We start from the raw sequence: 18,250 nt of genomic DNA on the forward strand, positions 1-18,250 counted from the left end.
TTTTCTTTTTTTAAAAATAAAGATGGCATGCCTGTAATCCCAGCACTTTGGGAGGCTGAGGCGGGCGGATAACCTGAGGTCGGGAGTTCGAGACCAGCCTGGCCAACATGGTGAAACCCTGTCTCTACTAAAAATTTAAAAATTAGCCGAACGCTGGTGTCTCACGCCTGTAATCCCAGCTACTTGGGAGACTGAGGCACGAGAATCGCTTGAACCTGGGAGGCGGAGGTTGCAGTGAGCCGAGATTGTGCCACTGCACTCCATCCTGGCGACAGAGTGAAGATTCTGTCTCAAAAAAAAAAAAAAAAAAAAGGAGAGAGAGAGAGACGGGATCTCGCTATGTTACCCAGGCTGGTCTTGAACTTCTAGGCTCAAGCAATCCTCCTGCCTCGGTCTCCTACAGTGTTGAGATTACAGGTGTGAGCCATTGTTCCAAAAATTGATATACTTGGCCTCACATCAATTTTTGGAACAATGCAGGTAATAATGAGGGGGAAAAAATTTTAAAAGTCCCAATTACCCTTTAAACAAATATTACCTCCTCCAAAAAATATTTTTCTAGATTCCTGAATGTATTTTTTGGTGGAGGAGGAACTCAAAGTAGAATTCATTTACATATTCATTCATTCATTCCACAGCACTAATCACTCCATGCAGTAACTGTGTGTCCCCGTCCCTCTCAGACTTAGTACCTGGAAGACAGCCAACCTGTCTTAATTCTATTGGTATCCCCAGGGCGCATTTCTTTGCCTTGAAAATTGAGTACCCAATAAATGTGCGTCGAGCAGAACTACACGAGATGGAGAACAGGGGTTTAGGGGTATGGGGGAGAGTCAGCAATTACTGGTGTCCTCCCTCCCTCCCCCAGCTCTGCTCCTACAGATCCAGGACGCCTAGCGAGGGTAGGAACCTCTTCTGTGCTTCCGCAACGCTCTGAACTGCACGGCACTGAGCGCATCTAATTAAAGTGATGGTTTCATTAGATAGCAACACAGCGAGACCCCGTTTCTACAAAAAATAAAAATAAAAAATAAAAGATTAGCTGGGCGTGGTTGCTCGCGCCTCTAGTCCCAGCTACTTGGGTGGAGGCTGAGGAAGAAGGATCGCTTGAGCCTAAGAGTTCGAGGTTGCTGTGAGCTATGATCGCGCCACTGGACTCCAGCCTGGGCGACAGAGCAAGATCCTCTGTCTAAAATAAAAATAAAAATAAAATGATGGTTTAATCGCCGGCCTTTGCCCCTTCTGCCCCCCACCCCCCACAAGTCTGTAGGACTGGGTTGACTTCCCAGAGCTTACTACAGATTAGATGCTAAATAAATGTCTATTGGACGGATGCGCGAATGAATGGATGGATGGAGGATGTGGTTGTGCTTACCACGCTCCCTGGTCAGTGGGTTAATGTCGTCAGGCGGGGCCAGGCTCGCTAACAGCCGGGCGGGGTCCCTTCCCCCGGGCCCCGCCCCGGCCGACCCCACCTTTCCGCGCGGCTCCGCCCCGCCGCCCCCTTGCCAGTGGCCCCTCCCCGCGCAGGTCCCGACTCCAGCCGCACCTCCTCCGGCTCTGCAGTGGCGGCGAGGAGGCGAGCCGGAGCGACGGCGGGGCTGGGGCCGGAGCCGAGCCGGGGTCGGGCAGCAGCAGGGACCCCCCAGAGGCGGGGCCTGTGGGACCGCTATGGGCGTGGAGATCGAGACCATCTCCCCCGGAGACGGTACCGGGCTCCCTCCGGAGCCAGGGGAGGGGAGGGGTCCCGGGGCGGAGCCCGGAGGGCGGGGGTCTGATTCGGAGGTGGCGTGGAGGGTGCTGAAGGGTCGGGGGGCTGGATGGGGAAGGCAGGCGGAGACGCCGGACGGGATTCTTGGGGGTCTAGGAGACCATCCTCCGCCATCCTCTTCCGCGCTCACCTAGGGGAATGTAGGCGGCAGCTCGGAGGCGGGGGTCTGCGGCCCGGAGGCGGGGGTCTGCGGCCCGCCACCGCCCCGGGCTTCTCCTGTCGCGGCTGCAGTCGTTCGGTTATCCGCTGCTGCTGATACCCCAGCCTGGGTTTCGGCTTCGCTTTCCCTGCCCTACTCGGCGAGCTCTGGAAAGCAGGACCTGCTCTCGGATACCCGCTGCTCGGGGACCTCCTCCTAGCGCGTCCCCCGCCGGGCCTCCCCTCGGTCGCTTCCCTGCGGGCCGGGCTGTGAGCGGCTGTGGGGACAGACCCAGGCTGGGGAAGGGGGAAGCGCTCCCTTGCCCGCTTCCGGATCTCGCTTTATCCTGCCGCCGCTTTCAGACTCCCTGGCCACCCTGTCCACTCCCATGGCCTCCACATTGAAGCTTCTAAGCCCAGCCCTGCGACCTACGGCCGAACCTCTCCCTGGACGTCCCAGGGTGCTCCCTGGTCAGCAAGTCCAAAACAGAACTCTCGCTTCCCACCTTCTCTCCTAAGTGATCCTCTTTATCCCCCTTCCGTGTCTCACTTTCCCAAGTCCTTGTATTACTGGGTCTGGGTGTGCAAGGAATAGCCATTTCTTTATTTCTTGAAATTTAATTAATACCAAAGCCCCCATTGTCTGCAGGGTTTGATGGGCAAACTTCATATCAGATATTATTAATATGAACAGCTCCCCTCCCCAGGAAATTGGATAACTTCTTGGCTCCAGGCCATCTTCCTTGTCCAATCCCAGCCACTACTTCAGATATCCCCTGGAGTACAGGCTTCTTTGCCCACGCAGGAAACATTGCTGCTGGGTCCCAGAAAGCATCTCCCTGAGGCCTTTTCATCCCTCAGCAGCCCCTGAGCTAATCTCCCCATCTTCAGTCTCTCCTCCCTGCTTTCAATCTCGTCCCCAATCTCATATTCACTCCCTTTCTATATCATAGCCTGAAGACTCTTCTTAAAATGCAGTGGCTCACGCCTGTAATCCCAGCACTTTGGGAGGCTGAGGCGGGCGGATCACAAGGTCAGGAGTTCGAGACCAGCCTGACCAACATGTTGAAACCCCGTCTCTACTAAAAATACAAAAATTAGCTGGGCATGGTGGTACGCACCTGTAATCCCAGCTACTCGGGAGGCTGGGGCAGGAGAATCACTTGACCCTGGGAGCCAGAGGTTGCAGTGAGCTGAGATTGTGCCATTGCACTCCAGCCTGGGTGACAGAGCAAGACTCTATCTCAAAAAAAAAAAAGAAAAAAAATGCATGTTTGACTATGCCCCTCCCTCAGGCAGAAGATGTTTTAATGATTCTTCCCTCTCCCCCAGGAGGGGCCTTTGGTGCTATGGTCTATTCTCATCTTCCACACTAGAGCTTCATCTCTCACCACCTGTCCTAAGCCCACCACTAACTTTTTCCTCCAGCTTTCCCAAGCTGCCTGCAAGTTGTCAAACACACCACTCGTTCAGCAAATATTTATTGAACGTGTGTGCTAGGCCCTAAGGTGACACAGTTGAAACAGACAGGGTTCCCGCTATTGCTGGACTGAGGGCCTTTGAACATGTTACATGTTGTTCCCTCTTCCCAGATGGTGTTTTTTCACTTCCTCTGGCAAACTCTTACTTGTCTTTCAAGACCTGGCTTCACCATTCTCTCCTCTATGATGTTTTCCTTGACTTCTGTGGTCAGTTAGCTGCTCCCTCCTCCAGGATCCCATAGAGTCCTCTAAATATCGGCTCTGTGGTTAGGCTTCCTTAGGCTTTGTATCCAGCCCCGTAGCTTTAAATTCCAGCCAAATTTATACCTCCAGTGCAGACTCTTCATCTGCCTACTTGCAATATAAACTCAGATGTCTAATAGGCATCTCAAGATTGCCACCCGCACAAATCTGTTCCTCCCGTCTTCCCTATCTCAGGAAATAGTTGCACTATTCATCCAGTTGCCCAAACAGAAAACCCAAGCATCGTTCTTGTTGTCTCCTTTGTCCTCATCCTGGACCCCATTTCCAGTCTGATTGCATGACCTGTCAGCTCCGCTTCGAAAATATGTCTCCAATCTTTCACTCTCTTCTCTGCTGCCACCACCTTAAATCAAGCTATCATTGATTTCTTGTCTGGATTATTGCAACAGACGCCTAACCGTCCATCCTACACATAGCAGCCAGAGTGATGTTATAAAATCTTAATTCAGATTATGTCATTCTCTGGCTTAAAACCCTCCAGTGGTTTCCTATTGCACTTAGTATTAAATCCGGCTCTTCAAGCCCTGCATGATCCATGTCCTTCCCACCTCTCTCCTCCCTCCCTTCTTTCCAGCACCTAGCCTCCTTGCTCACTGCAAATGTGTTGATTCTGTGCACTTGTTACTCCTTTCCCAAGTGCTATTTCCCAGTATTTTGCTCATCCTTCAAGTCCCAGCTCCAGGGGGCACCTTCTCCAAGAGGCCATCCTGGACCACTCTGTCTGAAATGGCCTGTCCCACTGCATCTCCCTTTAATACATCATTGTGTGTATTTTCTTTAGAGTATTCATCATAATCCATAATCATTTTGTATATTTAAGTATTGTCTCTGTCCATTAGAATATAAACTCCAGGGCGGGTTTGGTGGCTCATGCCTATAATCTCAGCACTTTGGGAGGTTGAGGTGGGAGAATCTCTTGAGCTCAGGAGTTCAAGGCCAACCTGGACAACATGTTAAGACCCTGTCTCTACAAATTTTTTTTAAAAAAATTAGCTGGGCATGGCAGCATGCACTTGCAGTACTAGCTACTCAGAAGGCAGAGGAAGAAAGATTGCTTGAGCCCAGGAAAGGTCAAGGCTGCACAGAGCCGAGATCATGCTGTTGCACTCCAGCCTGGGTGACACACTGAGACCCCTACTCTTAAAAAAAAAAAGTAAACTCTAAAAGAACAGGGATAGAGATCTTGTTTGTAGTGTTCACTGCTGTATCCCTGTGATCAGGCACAGGCTTGGCACACCATAGGTACTCAGTAAATATTTGTGGTTTTGTTTTGTTTTGTTTTGTCTGTTTGTTTATTGTGACAGGGTCTTGCTCTGTCACCCAGGGTAGAGTGCAGTAGCATGAACACAGCTCACTGCAGCCTTGACCTCCTGGGCTCAAACAATCCTTCCACTTCAGCTTCTTCAGTAGCTGGGACTATAGGTATGCGGCACCACACCCAGCTAATTGAAAAGATTTTTTTTTTTTTTTTTTTTTTTTAGAGATGGGGTCTCCCTATGTTACCCAGGGTGATCTAGAACTCCTGAGCTCAAGTGATCCTCCCACCTCAGCCTCCCAAAGTGCTGAGATTACAGATGTGAGCCACCATGCCTGGCCTCTCAGCAAATATTTGTAAATTATTGTGTTTATTCATCTTTGATGGATGGATTATAATCTGCATTGTAATCTGGTATTTGTGTGTCTGTTTCCCTACCTTCCTCATGAGTTCATACATTGCTCTGCATGTCTGAAGTCTGGTCCAGGCCTGGCACATAGGAGGCCAACTGTAAATGTCTGTGGAATGGATGATGTGAAGTAAAAGGGGCAATCAAAGAAAGTGGGGGTGGGGTGGTGGGAAAGCCCAGGAGACAGCAGAATTGAGAAAATTGAGGGGGTAAAGTAAATCCAGGCCAGAGAGGTGACGTGATTCATTCTGGCTCGTACAGGGCCCAGAGCCAGAACTAGGGCCACAGGCATCTCCATGGCATGGAGGGGAATGCAGGCTGGAGCTCTTGGTCAGGATCATACTTAATGTCCCAGGTGTTTTTCCAATATCCTACTCCTTCATCTGCCCTCATGTCTCCCTGCAGGAAGGACATTCCCCAAGAAGGGCCAAACGTGTGTGGTGCACTACACAGGTAAGTCTCACCCCCTCAGCCCCCACCCAGTCCTTCCCCTCCCAAGGCAGGGCTGTCCTCTGAGCTTCTCTCCAGAGGTGCCTGCCTCTGGATCAGGGCTAAAGCCCAAGGCAGCAGGGTCTCCCTGTGACCAGCCATCCTCTACTCCTCCCAGCCAGTCTAGTGGGAATGATAAAGGAGGCTTGGAAGGCCAACTCTTTCCCTCTTCTACCAGCAAGGGCCATCCATGGTGCCAGCTTCTAGGTGAGTCAAACACCTTCAGTCCCCTTCCTTCTGTTGCAGGTATGGTGGAGCCCCTGTCCCTGCTGGGTCTGTCTGATATTTGGAAATCCCTCCTAGAGCTCCCCGCAGACTTTCTCTCCATCCTGCAGTATCATTAGAGAAGAAGAGGAGGGGAGAGGACAGACAAGTCACCCAGAGGCTCCGATGCCATTTGAGGGGTGGGGTGATGGCAGTGCTTTTCTCTGGGTACTGAGGGAGCCCAGAGCGGGACTGATCCCAGTTGGATGCTCTTTATCTGCAGGCGAGGTAGAGTGAGTTCTTCAGGACTGCTGGCAGGAAGATCATGAGCAGGTGTTTGTTCCAAGGGAGGTGAGCACCCTGCCTTGTGACCTGCTTCCTAAAGTGGCAAACTCGATGACAGCCACTTAGCAGACAGCAAGCCCAGGTTAATTCCTAGGACATACTCGGATGGGGCCATTTTTAGCAGTTCTGTGGGCCAGTGTGAAGCACAAGGTTAATTCTAGGCAGATGGTGTGGATGTTTTCAGCAGTTGTGTTGCTGGTCGCTGATGTCAGTGGGCTGGACCATGTTTTATCTCCTGGTGATGTGGCCTAATTACCATGGGTCGTCTGGGGCCTCTGACCTGTGTAATTGATTTAACAATTTTGCATGTTGTAGACAGACCAGTATTTATCAAGTTACTGAAACCACAACATCCTTTTGCAAAGTCCTTTCACAATACATACATAGGGCAGCAGCTCCTGTCTTGGGAGAGACTATGTCTTATCAAACATAGCGGGAGACTATGGGACTTTTGGTAAACTTTAAAGTTAAATATAAATATAGTAGAGAACATAATGTAAGATGTCTAGGTCAATGAATTTTTTCAAAGTGATCACATTTATGTGACTACCACCTAGAGAAGCATAGAACATACAAGCATAGAACCAGCATCCCCAAAAGTCCCCCTGATGCCTTCTCCCAGTCATTTCACCTCCCTAGAGGTAGCTATCATTGTTTTTCTTTTTTTTTTTTTTTTTGTCATTGTTGTTGTTGTTTTGAGACAGGGTCTCACTCTGTGACTCAGGCTGAGTGCAGTGGTGATCACAGCTCATTGCAGCCTCGACCTCTCGGGCTCAAGTGACCCTCCTGCTTCAGTGTCCTGACTAGCTGGGACCACAGACATGAGCCACCATGCCTGGCTAATTTTAATTTTTTGTAGAGATGAGGGTCTCACTATGTTGCCCGGGCTGGTCTCGAACGCCTGTATGCAAGTGATCCTTCCACCTTGGCCTCCTAGTGCTGGGATTACAGGTGTGAGCCACTGTGCCTGGCTGGCAACTATTACTCTGACTTTTGTCTCCATGGATTGGTTTTGCCTATTTTTGAACTTCATCTTAATGGAACCACAGCGTAGGTACTCTTTTGTGTTTGGCTTATTTCACTCACTATTATGTCTGCGAGATATATCCAGAATGGTTTATTCCTCTACAGTATTTTAACGTACAAGTATGTTGCAATTTATGTATCCTCTCTACCGTTGATGAACATTTGGGTTGTTCATAGTTTTTGTTTATTACAAACAGTGTCACTTTGATCAGTCTTGCAGGCATCTCTTAGTGTACATGTGTACAGACATATGTGCATGTTTCTGTTGGGTATATACCTGGAAGTGGGGTACCTCCTGGGCTCAGCGTTAGCAGTACTGTCTGACAGCTTTCCAAAGTCGTTGTGCCAGTTTCCACTCTAGGCAGCTGTGTAGGAGACTGCCAGTTACCCTGTGTCCTCCCCAACACTTGTTATTGTCAGGTTTTGGTTTTGTTTTGTTTTTTCTTTTTTTGAGACAGAGTCTATGTTGCCCAGGCTGGAGAGAAATGGCATGATCTTGGCTCACTGCAACCTCTGCCTCCTGGGTTCAAGCGATTCTCCTGCCTTAGCCTCCCGAGTAGCTGGGATTACAGGCGCCCGCCACCATGCCTGGCTAATTTTTGTGTTTCTAGTAGAGACGGTGTTTCACCATATTGGCCAGGCTGATCTCAAACTCCTGACCTCAGGTGATCTGCCTGCCTCGGCCTCTCAAAGTGCTGGGATTACAGGAATGAGCCACCACACCAGGCTTTGTTTTGGTTTTGGCCTACTCTGGTGAGCGTTCAGTACCATTTCATTGTGGGTTTTTTTGTTTTTTTTTTTTGAGACAAGGTCTCACTCTGTTGCCAAGGCTGGAGTGCAGTGGTGCGATCTTGGCTCACTGCAACCCCGCCTCCTGGGTTCAAGCGATTCTTGTGCCTCAACCTCCCAAGTAGCTGGGATTACAGGTGCGCACCACCACACCCAGCTAATTTTTGTATTTTTTGTAGAGATGGGATTTCACCATGTTGGCCAGGCTGGTCACTGTGGTTTTGATTTGTGTTTCCCTGATGATGAATGAAGTTGAGCACCTTTTCATGTGCCTACTGGCCATTTGGATATCCTCTTTAGACTGCTCTAATTTTGTCCATTTTAGAAAATTAGGTTGTCTTTTTCTTTTTCTTTTTTTGAGACAGAGTTTCACTCTTGTTGCTCAGGCTGGAGTGCAATGGCGCAATCTTCACTCCCTGCAACCTACACTTCCCGGGTTCAAGTGATTCTCCTGCCTCAGCCTCCTGAGTAGCTGGGATTACAGGTGTGTGCCACCGTGCCCGGCTAATTTTGAGGTTTTTAGTAGAGACAGGGTTTCGCCATGTTGGCCAGGCTGGTCTCAAACTCCTGACCTCAGGTGATCCACCTGCCTCGGCCTCCCAGAGTACTGGGATTACAGGTGTAAGCCATGGTGCCCGGCCGGTTGTCTTTTTCTTGTTGATTTATAGGAGTTTTGTATATGTTTTGGATATGAGTCTTTTGTTGGTTATATCTATCCCAAACATCTTCTCCCACACTATGGCTTGCCTTTTTACTCTCTTAATAGTATATTTTGAACAGAAGTTCTTTTTTTATAGTTTATATTTTCTTCTTTTCTTTCTTTTTAAAATTTTTTTCTTTCTTTTTTATTTTTGAGATAGGATCTCACTCTGTTACCCAGGCTGGAGTTCAGTGGCTCTAGTCTTCAGGGATCATGGCTCACTGCAGCCTTGACCTCCTGGGTTCAAGGACTCCTCCCATGTCAGCCTCCCAAGTAGCTGGGAGTACAGGAACATGCTACCATGCCTGGCTAATTTTTTTTTGGTTTTTTTTTGTGTGTGTGTGATGGAGTTTTGCTATCGTTGCCCAGGCTGGAGTGCAATGGCACGATTTCAGCTCACCACAACCTCTGCCTCCCAGGTTCAAGCAATTCTCCTGCCTCAGTCTTCCGAGTAGCTGGGATTTCAGGCATGCGCCACCACGCCTGGACAATTTTGTATTTTTAGTAGAGACTGGGTTTCTCCATGTTGGTCAGGCTGGTCTCGAACTCCCTACCTCAGGTGATCTGCTCGCCTCGGCCTCCCAAAGTGCTGGGATTACAGGCGTGAGCCACCGGGCCCGGCCACCTGGCTAATTTTTAGTTTTTCTGTAGAGAGGAAGGTCTCCCTATGTTGCCCAGGATGGTCTCAAACTCCTGGGCTCAAGTGATCCTCCTACCTTGGCCTCCCAAAGTGCTAGTATTACAGGTGTGAGCCACTGTACCTGGCCTGAACAGAAGTTCCTAATTTTGATGAAGTCTGACTTATCAATCTTTCCCTTTATGGTTAGTGCTTTCTGTGTTCAGTTTAAGAAATCTTTGTCTGTCAGGCCAGGTGCGGTGGCTCCTGCCTATAATCCCAGCACTTTGGGAGGCCAAGGCAGGTGGATCACCTGAGGTCAGGAGTTCGAGACCAGCCTTGCCAACATGGTGAAACCCTGTCTCTACTAAAAATACAAAAATTAGCCAGGCATGGTGGTGCATGCCTGTAATCCCAGCTACTCGGGAGGCTGAGACAGGAGAATTACTTGAACAACCCAGGAGGCGGAGGTTGCAGTGAGCTGAGATTGAGCCGCTGCACTCCAGCCTGGGTGACAGAGATGAGACTCTGTCTCAGGAAAAAAAAAAAAAAAATTGTCTCTAGGTCATGAAGATATCCTTCTATTTGTTATCTTGTAGAAGCTTTATTATTCTATCTTTCATATTTAGGTTTATGATTCATCTGGAATTGATTTTTTTGTGTGTGGATTTGGTAGGGGTTAAAGTTCATTTTTTCCCCATATGAATATACTGTTGACTCAACAACCTTAATGCAAGAAAAAAAAACCTTTATTTGCTGCATTGCAGTGGTATCTTTGTCCAATCAAATCACCATGTAAGTGGGTCTGTTTCTAGACTGCATGGTTTTGGCTTAACTTGTAGCAATAGATAAATGAAGTTATTTATCCAAAGTAGATTAAGTCACATGAAACCTGAAGAAACTAAGGAATGAGAAAGGAAAGTCGGTATATAAATGGAGTGTGTGAATGTGTGCATGTGTGTTTGCATATCTGTGTGCATATTTGTACAAGTATGTATCTGTGTGAATGTATGTAGATCTGTGTATGTAAATATTTTCTTAGCATCTATTTGGCCACCAGGGCTTTTCTCCTGAGTGTGAGTGCATAAGTGCATGTGAGCATGCACAAGTATCTTTGTGTATTTGAATATCTTAGCAACCTTAGCAAATGCATGCGATTGTATTTGATCTTGTTAGCATCCATCTGCATGTACCTCTGTGTAGCCAGAAGGGTTTTCTTCTTTGCCTCAGTTAGTACCCAGGGCAAAAGCTTAATGTATTCTACTCAGAAAGTAGTTAAATAAGACTGTTTCTCTAATATATATTTTAGTTGTAGGAATTAGGAAGTAGCATCATAGATGCTCCTACACTAAGCTGGCCCTGCTTCCTATGTTAAATATGACACATCTGAGGCCCTGGGAGAGGAAGTGATTTGCCCAGTCTCACACAATGAGTTAGAGCCAGAGTGAAGTCAAAACCCAGTCTCTGGATGTACAAGCAAGGTCTTTTTCTAGTCCCAAATGGCCTTTTGTGGTGGTCCAGGGACTGCCGGGAGCAGTCGTGGAACTGCATCATTTACAGAAGGTCTGATCTTTGAGTCAGAGTCACAGAAGAATTGAGAATAGCTGTTGGGCCTTGGGCTGCTGGACTGAGATGACATGTGGACATCAGGATGACAAGGCTTCTGAAGCAGAGGCTGGGGGAACCAGAACTGCTGGACCAGCACCTGGGGGGGGGTTCTGGTTTCAAACAGCCCTCTTAGTACAGAGTCTGGAGGCCACCTCTGACCAGCTAGGTCACCTTACACTGTTCCCTACAGTAGGGGATAATGTAACCTTTGGGTTTTCCCTTTTGGGGGAAACTTAGGAAACCTTAGGAACCTTATGCGAGGACTCAACCTGAGGCTGGAATAGCTGGGAAAACAGAACTTTAGGTGGAGGAAGTGGCATAAAAAAGTTGAAAAGTCTGGCTGGGCATGATAGCTCACACCTGTAATCCCAGCACTTTGGGAGGCTGAGGTGGGCAGATCACCTGAGGTCAGGAGTTCGAGACCAGCCTGGCCAACATAGCAAAACCCCATCTCTACTAAAAATATAAAAAAATTAGCAGGCATAGTGGCAGGTACCTGTAGTCCCAGCTACTCAGGAAGCTGAGGCAGGAGAATCCCTTGAACCCGGGAGGCGGAGGTTGCAGTGAACCGAGATCACACCACTGCACTCCAGCCTGGGCAACAGAGGGAGACTCCGACTCAAAAAAAAAAAAAAAAAAAAAAAAGTTGAAAAGTGCAGAGGAATTTGAGAAAGGTATGACCTGAAAAGGACACAGAGGGAAGGGAAGGAAGGGGAGAACAGAGAGGGTTATAAGCAGGCCAGAGCCGGATTGTGAAGTGCCTGTATGCAAGGTAGGCATTTGGATTCTGCTCTGGGGAGCTATTGAAGTATTTTGAGCAGGGGAGTAATAGAATCAGATTTGTGTTTAAAGAAAAAAAAAAATCAGTCTGGATGCCAAGTGGACAATGAAATGGAGGCGAGTAAAAGAGGATCAAAAAGACCAGTTAGGAGGTTGTTCCTGTGTACAGGTGAGATAAGCTGGTGACTTGGTCGTGGTAATAGAAACAAAGAAAAGGCCAGGCACAGTGGCTCATGCTTGTAATCCCAGCACTTTGGGAGGCCAAGGTGGGTGGATCACCTGCAGTTCAGGAGTTCAAGACCAGCCTAGCCAATATGGCAAAACCCTGTTTCTACTAAAAATACAAAAATCAGCTGAGTGTGGTGGTGGGCGCCTGTAATGCCAGCTACCTGGGAGGCTGAGGCAGAAGAATCGATTGAACCCAGGAGATGGAGGTTGCAGTGAGCCGAGATTGTGCCACTGCACTCCAGCCTGGGTGACAAATTGAGATTCTGTCTCAAATAAATAAATAAATAAATAAAAATAGAAATGAAGAAAATAGGTGGATTCCAAAGATATGGAGGACTTAGTGATAGGCAGTATGTGGGGGTGAGGCAGAAGGAAGTGTCCAGATTTCCTGCTTGGGCAACAGGATGGATGGGGAGGATCGGAAGAGGAGCAGGTGTGTGCAGAAAAGGCATTCCATTTTAGACATGTGGAATCTGAATTGGGAGTTTACTCATGACCACAGCTCTATTGCACCCGATTCTTGCTTTGACAGGAATGCTCCAAAATGGGAAGAAGTTTGATTCATCCAGAGACAGAAACAAACCTTTCAAGTTCAGAATTGGCAAACAGGAAGTCATCAAAGGTTTTGAAGAGGGTGCAGCCCAGGTAGGATGAGGATTCGCATTAAAGGGGATCTGGGGAGTTGGGGATCTGGGATCAGCACTCTGCCCTCCACCTCCACCTTCACCCACTCACAGACCACTACTGCTTTGACTCTACAGCCAGGGCATGGCAACGCCATCTGGTGTCCCCTCCTGGCTTTGCGTCCCCACCCCTCTCCTTGCCAGCATACCTCTTTTGTGTCCCTGGGGGCTCTCATCCCAAGCACATCCCCCTAGGCTTGCTCAGAACTAGCTGAGAGAGCCAGGCACGGTGGCTCACACCTGTAATCCCAGCACTTTGGGAGGCCGAATGGGGTGGATCAGTTGAGGCCAGGAGTTCAAGACTAGCCTCACCAACATGGTGTAACCCCGTCCCTGCTGAAAATACAGGCGTGGTGGTGCATGCCTGTAATCCCAGCTACTTGGGAGGCTGCGACAGGAGAATTACTTGAACCGGGGAGGTGAAGGTTGCAGTGAGCAGAGATTGTGCCACTGTACTCCAGCCCAGGCGATGGAGTGAGACTGTCTCAAAAAAACAAAACAAAAAAATAAACTAGCTGAGGTCTACCAGTTGCCTGGGACTGAGGTAGTGGAAGAGTTGGGGTGGAGTAGGCCAAGAAAATTTTTCGTTTTTTCGCTTTTTTGAAAAGAATTTCAGAATTACAAAAATATTAAAGAAATAGTACAGAGTTCTTCTATATTCTATCCAGCTTCCCCTTCTTGCATAACCATAGTACAATTATCAAAACCAGGACATTCACACTGATACAAATTACTTACTTATTCAAATTTTTGATTATTCAAAATTCAAAAGTAGATTTAAATTTCACCAATTGTCCCACTAATGCTGAGTGGGTTCTCAACAACTGCTGTGATGAGCCCTGGTTCAAGCTGTTCTTTCTTGGTCTGTCTGTGAAGTCCTATGATGCTCCCTTACGATAGGTCTTGTTTTTGGTGTTTTTTTTTAGAAAGAGTATCACTCTGTCACCAAGGCTGGACTGCAGTGGCGCAATCTTGGCTCACTGCAAGCTCCGCGTCCTGGGTTCACGCCATTCTTCTGCCTCAGCCTCCCTAGTAGCTGGGACTACAGGCGCCCGCCACCACGGCCGGCTAATTTTTTTGTATTTTTAGTAGAGACGGGGTTTCACCGTTGTTAGCCAAGATGGTCTCGGTCTCCTGACCTCGTGATCTGCCCGCCTCAGCCTCCCAAAGTGGTGCGAGCCACCGTGCCCGGCCTGTTTTTTGTTTTTTATTTATTTATTTATTTTGAGACGTAGTCTCACTCTGTTGCCCAGGCTAGAGTGCAGTGGCACAATCTCAGCTCACTGCAACCTCCTCCTCCCAGGTTCAAGCAATTTTCCTGCCCCAGCCTCCCGAGTAGCTGAGATTACAGGTGTGCACCATCACCATCACGCCTGGCTAATTTTTGTATTTTTAGTACAGACGGGGTCTCACCATGTTTGCCAGGCTGCTCTCGAACTCCTGACCTCAGGTGATCCACCTGCCTCGGCCTCCCAAAGTGCTGAGATTACAGGTGTGAGCCACCACGCCCGGACTTTTTGTATTTTTTAGTAGAGACAGGGTTTTGCCATATTAGCCAGGCTGGTCTTGAACTTCTGGACTCAAGTGATCTGCCCACCTTGGCTTCCCAAAAGTGCTGGGATTACAGGTGTGAGCCACCACGGTTGGCCACAATAGGTCCCCCTTGCCACCTTGCTGGTGACTCTAGTCTCTAAACCACTTTAAATAACTGCCCCTGTCACCTACTTGAGTATTTACGTGTGCTATTCATACACCCTCTTTTCCTAAAGAGGCCTATTCTTTGGAAGAGGGTGAACTATGAACAAATGGAAGTGTTTCAGTCATACACAAATTGAATAACCAGTAATGTTTGTCAGATGCATGAATTTGAGACCACTCTGTGAGGGTTACTGCCCCACAGTCACATCTCTGCTGAGGCAGAATCTGCGTTTGTTAAAGCTGTTAGCACGATTTCAATGTATCCCATGTAAAATTCATCTGAGATCTTCAGAGTTAACATTGAGGATGGTTTGGGAAAATGCCATAGTCATCTAACTTTTTTCTTTTAAATCAAGCTGGGTCCTCTTTCTCCTCTCCCCATCTGCCCCCATCCCTGCTAGATGAGCTTGGGGCAGAGGGCGAAGCTGACCTGCACCCCTGATGTGGCATATGGAGCCACGGGCCACCCCGGTGTCATCCCTCCCAATGCCACCCTCATCTTTGACGTGGAGCTGCTCAACTTAGAGTGAAGGCAGGAAGGAACTCAAGGTGGCTGGAGATGGCTGCTGCTCACCCTCCTAGCCTGCTCTGCCACTGGGACGGCTCCTGCTTTTGGGGCTCTTGATCAGTGTGCTAACCTCACTGCCTCATGGCATCATCCATTCTCTCTGCCCAAGTTGCTCTGTATGTGTTCGTCAGTGTTCATGCGAATTCTTGCTTGAGGAAACTTCGGTTGCAGATTGAAGCATTTCAGGTTGTGCATTTTGTGTGATGCATGTAGTAGCCTTTCCTGATGACAGAACACAGATCTCTTGTTCGCACAATCTACACTGCCTTACCTTCACTTAAACCACACACACAAGGTGCTCAGACATGAAATGTACATGGCGTACCGTACACAGAGGGACTTGAGCCAGTTACCTTTGCTGTCACTTTCTCTCTTATAAATTCTGTTAGCTGCTCACTTAAACAATGTCCTCTTTGAGAAAATGTAAAATAAAGGCTCTGTGCTTGACAAACTCCTGTCCATCCTTATTTTAGGTAGGAAGTGCTCTAAGGACCACACAAGCCAGGTGCCCTTGGGAAAGAGTGGAAAGAAAGGAGGGTTCCAAGTGGCTAGGTGAGTGATAAATATAATAGCTACAATGTGAGCATTTTACATGCTGGGCCTTGTTCTACATACTTTTTTATTTTATTTATTTATTTATTTATTTGAGATGGAGTCTCGCTCTGTCACTCAGGCTGGAATGCAGTGGCACAATCTTGGCTCACTGCAACCTCCGCCTCCTGGGTTCAAACGATTGTCATGCTCACCAGCACGCCTGGCTAATTTTTGTATTTTTAGTAGAGACAGGGTTTTGTCATATTGGCCAGGCTGGTCTCAAAACTCCTGACCTCAACTGATCTACCTGCCTTGGCCTCTCAAAGTGATGGGATTACAGGTGTGAGCCACTGTGCCTGGCTATATACTTTTAAATTATTACCATTGATCCTCTAAGCAACCCTGCACAGTAGATATTACCTGCCGCTCATCTCAGGCTCAGAATCCTCCTCTGCATAACTAAAGAAATATAGGCTCCAAATCTTGTAGCCTAGCAATCAGATGTGGGACTTGAGCACCTTATGTGCTCTTGCAATCTTTGTTTGGACTACAGCCAGAGGGATGAGCTCCACTCACCCAGATGGATACAGAACACTTTTTGTGTCTAAACAAATGAAGGTGTGTTAAGGGCTTGAAGTCGTACACTAACTCACATTGGGAAGTTCCTTGTGAAAAGAGTGTGTGATTCTGAGCTTGTTTTCACATACACTGCTTAGTTTCACCTAGATTTGTTCTGACTTACATTGAGGAATTACTTTTGAGAAGAATGTATGATTCTGAACTTGTTTCCACATATAGTGCTTATTTCATCAACATTTATTGTAACTAACCAGAAACACCAGTTAGGTTTTAAAATCAGCACACTTATTGGTGTAGGTTATATATAGGCCATAGGAGACTGAGGCAATATACTCAAACATTTTTCTTTTTTTTCTTTCTTTTTTTGAGACGGAGTCTCACTCTGTTGCCCAGGCTGAAGTGCAGTGGCATGATCTCGGCTCACTGCAAGCTCTGCCTCCCGGGTTCACACCATTCTTCTGCCTCAGCCTCCCGAGTAGCTGGGACTACAGGTGCCCACCACCACACCTGGCTAATTTTTTGTATTTTTAGTAGAGACGGAGTTTCACCATGTTAGCCAGGATGGTCTCAATCTCCTGACCTTATGATCCGCCTGCCTCGGCCTCCCAAAATGCTAGCATTACAGGTGTGAGCCATCACGCCCAGCCTCAAACATTTTTCTTTCAGTTGGTATAGGATGAGAAAAACTCCTGGCCATAGTTGGGGTTATTCTTTTTTTTTTTTAATCATTTATTTATTATTTTTAAAAAATAGAGATGGGGGAATCTCACTATGTTGCCCAGGCTGGTCTCAAACTCCTGGCCTCAAGCTATCTTCTCTCAGCCTCCCAAAGTGTTGGGATTATGGGTTTAAATCACTGCACTCAGCCAATACGGTTTTCTATCAGTGACGACTTCGAATTGTTTCAAGATTGAGGACGGAGGGGCTGATAACAGGTACTGTTAGTGTTCCTCATAGACCCACTGATACATGTCACATGATGTCATATATATGCTATGAGGCCATGTCATCTTGGCTACATGATCTACCTTTTTTGTCTCCAAGAAATCCTGGCTGTATTCCTTTGCTGAGGGTGGAGGAGCTAATGAAGAAGCAGTGCTTTAGGATGGAGAAAACGAGAGAAAGGAACTGCCTTGCATTTTAGTCACCAAAGTCCCTGTGCTCACCTCTATTGTGAGACTAGACCAGCCAGAGGGTATTTCCTTCAGAATGTCTTGGTTCCTGGCTTTCTTTGATGACTCAAATGCCTACAATAATTTCTCAGAAGTCAGCCTGCATAAAAGACATACGCATATTTTCTGCTGTGACACCAATAAGATAACAAAAGATGGCATCAAGGACTATTTCAGGTGCCCACTATGGGGCATATAAAAGATATTGGTCTAGAGTATTTATAACTGAGGTGGGTCAAAGGAGACACCCACTAAAAGAACTCCCCCAAAGTGCAAACACATACTGGCTAGCACCTGGAGAGGACAGGTGAGGCTCTGCAGGTAAACTGGGAAATGAACCATTTTACTGGAGCTCTTAAAAGATGATGCAGAAAATCATGATGCAGTATGCTAATGAGTCTGGACATTGGCCTATGAGAGCCACTAAAGCTGTTAAACAGAAGAGCAATAATAAGATCAAGGTCACATCAGTTGTTTTCAGACTTTCAGTCAATGAATTCTCTATTCCTACGAATTTTTTTCTTAGAAACTCAAAAATTTAACCCAGATGAAAGTAAAGCAGCTCTGGCACATGTGTGTGCACATATAAACACAGTCATCTGTTGCACTCTTAAAAGCATTTGAAAAATTGAGCTTTGGATGCCTTGCACAGAGGACCGATCATAATTATATCCTCAGCATCTTCGTACAGTACTGTGTGCAGAGTGGGAGTCAGTGTTTGTCCACTGAGTGCAAGTTCTTGTAACTTAATTGCGACAGGATATGGAATTTCCAAACAATTAGAGGGAAGTTTTAAGTCTTAACTTTAGGTCATGAAATTCAGCTAACAGATATATCAATCCAAATGATGGACTGGTCATGACTGCTAATAGAAGGAATTTCTCCTTGTTATTAAAACAACTACACCAGAGGC

At 47.4% G+C, this 18,250-nt stretch overlaps 1 protein-coding gene across 11 annotated transcripts in view, besides 4 other annotated features; it reads left to right on the plus strand.

Annotated features, from left to right (window-relative positions):
• FKBP1B (FKBP prolyl isomerase 1B) overlaps positions 1 to 15,503 on the plus strand; it is a 30,476-nt gene extending 14,973 nt beyond the window's left edge. The window contains exons 1-6 of one of the 11 annotated variants that reach the window (NR_136536.2): positions 1,563 to 1,708; positions 5,724 to 5,771; positions 5,926 to 6,014; positions 6,295 to 6,362; positions 12,636 to 12,748; positions 14,841 to 15,503. Coding sequence is in view for 8 of the 11 variants with exons in the window: in NM_004116.5 (NP_004107.1) it covers positions 1,672 to 1,708; positions 5,724 to 5,771; positions 12,636 to 12,748; positions 14,886 to 15,014 (327 nt within the window). In the remaining 3 variants the exon portion in view is untranslated. Of the gene's footprint in view, positions 1 to 1,562; positions 1,709 to 5,723; positions 5,772 to 5,925; positions 6,015 to 6,294; positions 6,439 to 12,635; positions 12,749 to 14,840 lie in introns of those variants that run through there. The other 10 variants (XM_017003593.3, NR_136538.2, XM_017003596.3 and 7 more) reach the window with 10 other exon arrangements.
• Positions 1,425 to 1,724: a silencer, noted in NCBI's record as "silent region_11225". NCBI's record gives its function as "represses an Ori minimal core promoter by ATAC-STARR-seq in GM12878 lymphoblastoid cells {active_cell/tissue: GM12878}" and the evidence as "EXISTENCE:reporter gene assay evidence [ECO:0000049][PMID:35858748]".
• Positions 5,661 to 5,852: a silencer, noted in NCBI's record as "fragment chr2:24276709-24276900 (GRCh37/hg19 assembly coordinates)". NCBI's record gives its function as "represses an EF-1alpha promoter that drives an FKBP-Casp9 reporter gene in an ReSE screen in K562 erythroleukemia cells {active_cell/tissue: K562}" and the evidence as "EXISTENCE:reporter gene assay evidence [ECO:0000049][PMID:32094911]".
• Positions 6,461 to 6,755: a silencer, noted in NCBI's record as "tiled region #5215; K562 Repressive DNase matched - State 9:DNaseU". NCBI's record gives its function as "represses a minimal TATA promoter and a strong SV40 promoter by Sharpr-MPRA in K562 cells {active_cell/tissue: K562}" and the evidence as "EXISTENCE:reporter gene assay evidence [ECO:0000049][PMID:27701403]".
• Positions 12,760 to 12,899: an enhancer, noted in NCBI's record as "active region_15422". NCBI's record gives its function as "activates an Ori minimal core promoter by ATAC-STARR-seq in GM12878 lymphoblastoid cells {active_cell/tissue: GM12878}" and the evidence as "EXISTENCE:reporter gene assay evidence [ECO:0000049][PMID:35858748]".
• Positions 15,504 to 18,250: the final 2,747 nt, after the last annotated feature.

This window comes from Homo sapiens, chromosome 2 (genome assembly GCF_000001405.40).
Source record: "Homo sapiens chromosome 2, GRCh38.p14 Primary Assembly".
Lineage (NCBI taxonomy): Eukaryota > Metazoa > Chordata > Mammalia > Primates > Hominidae > Homo > Homo sapiens.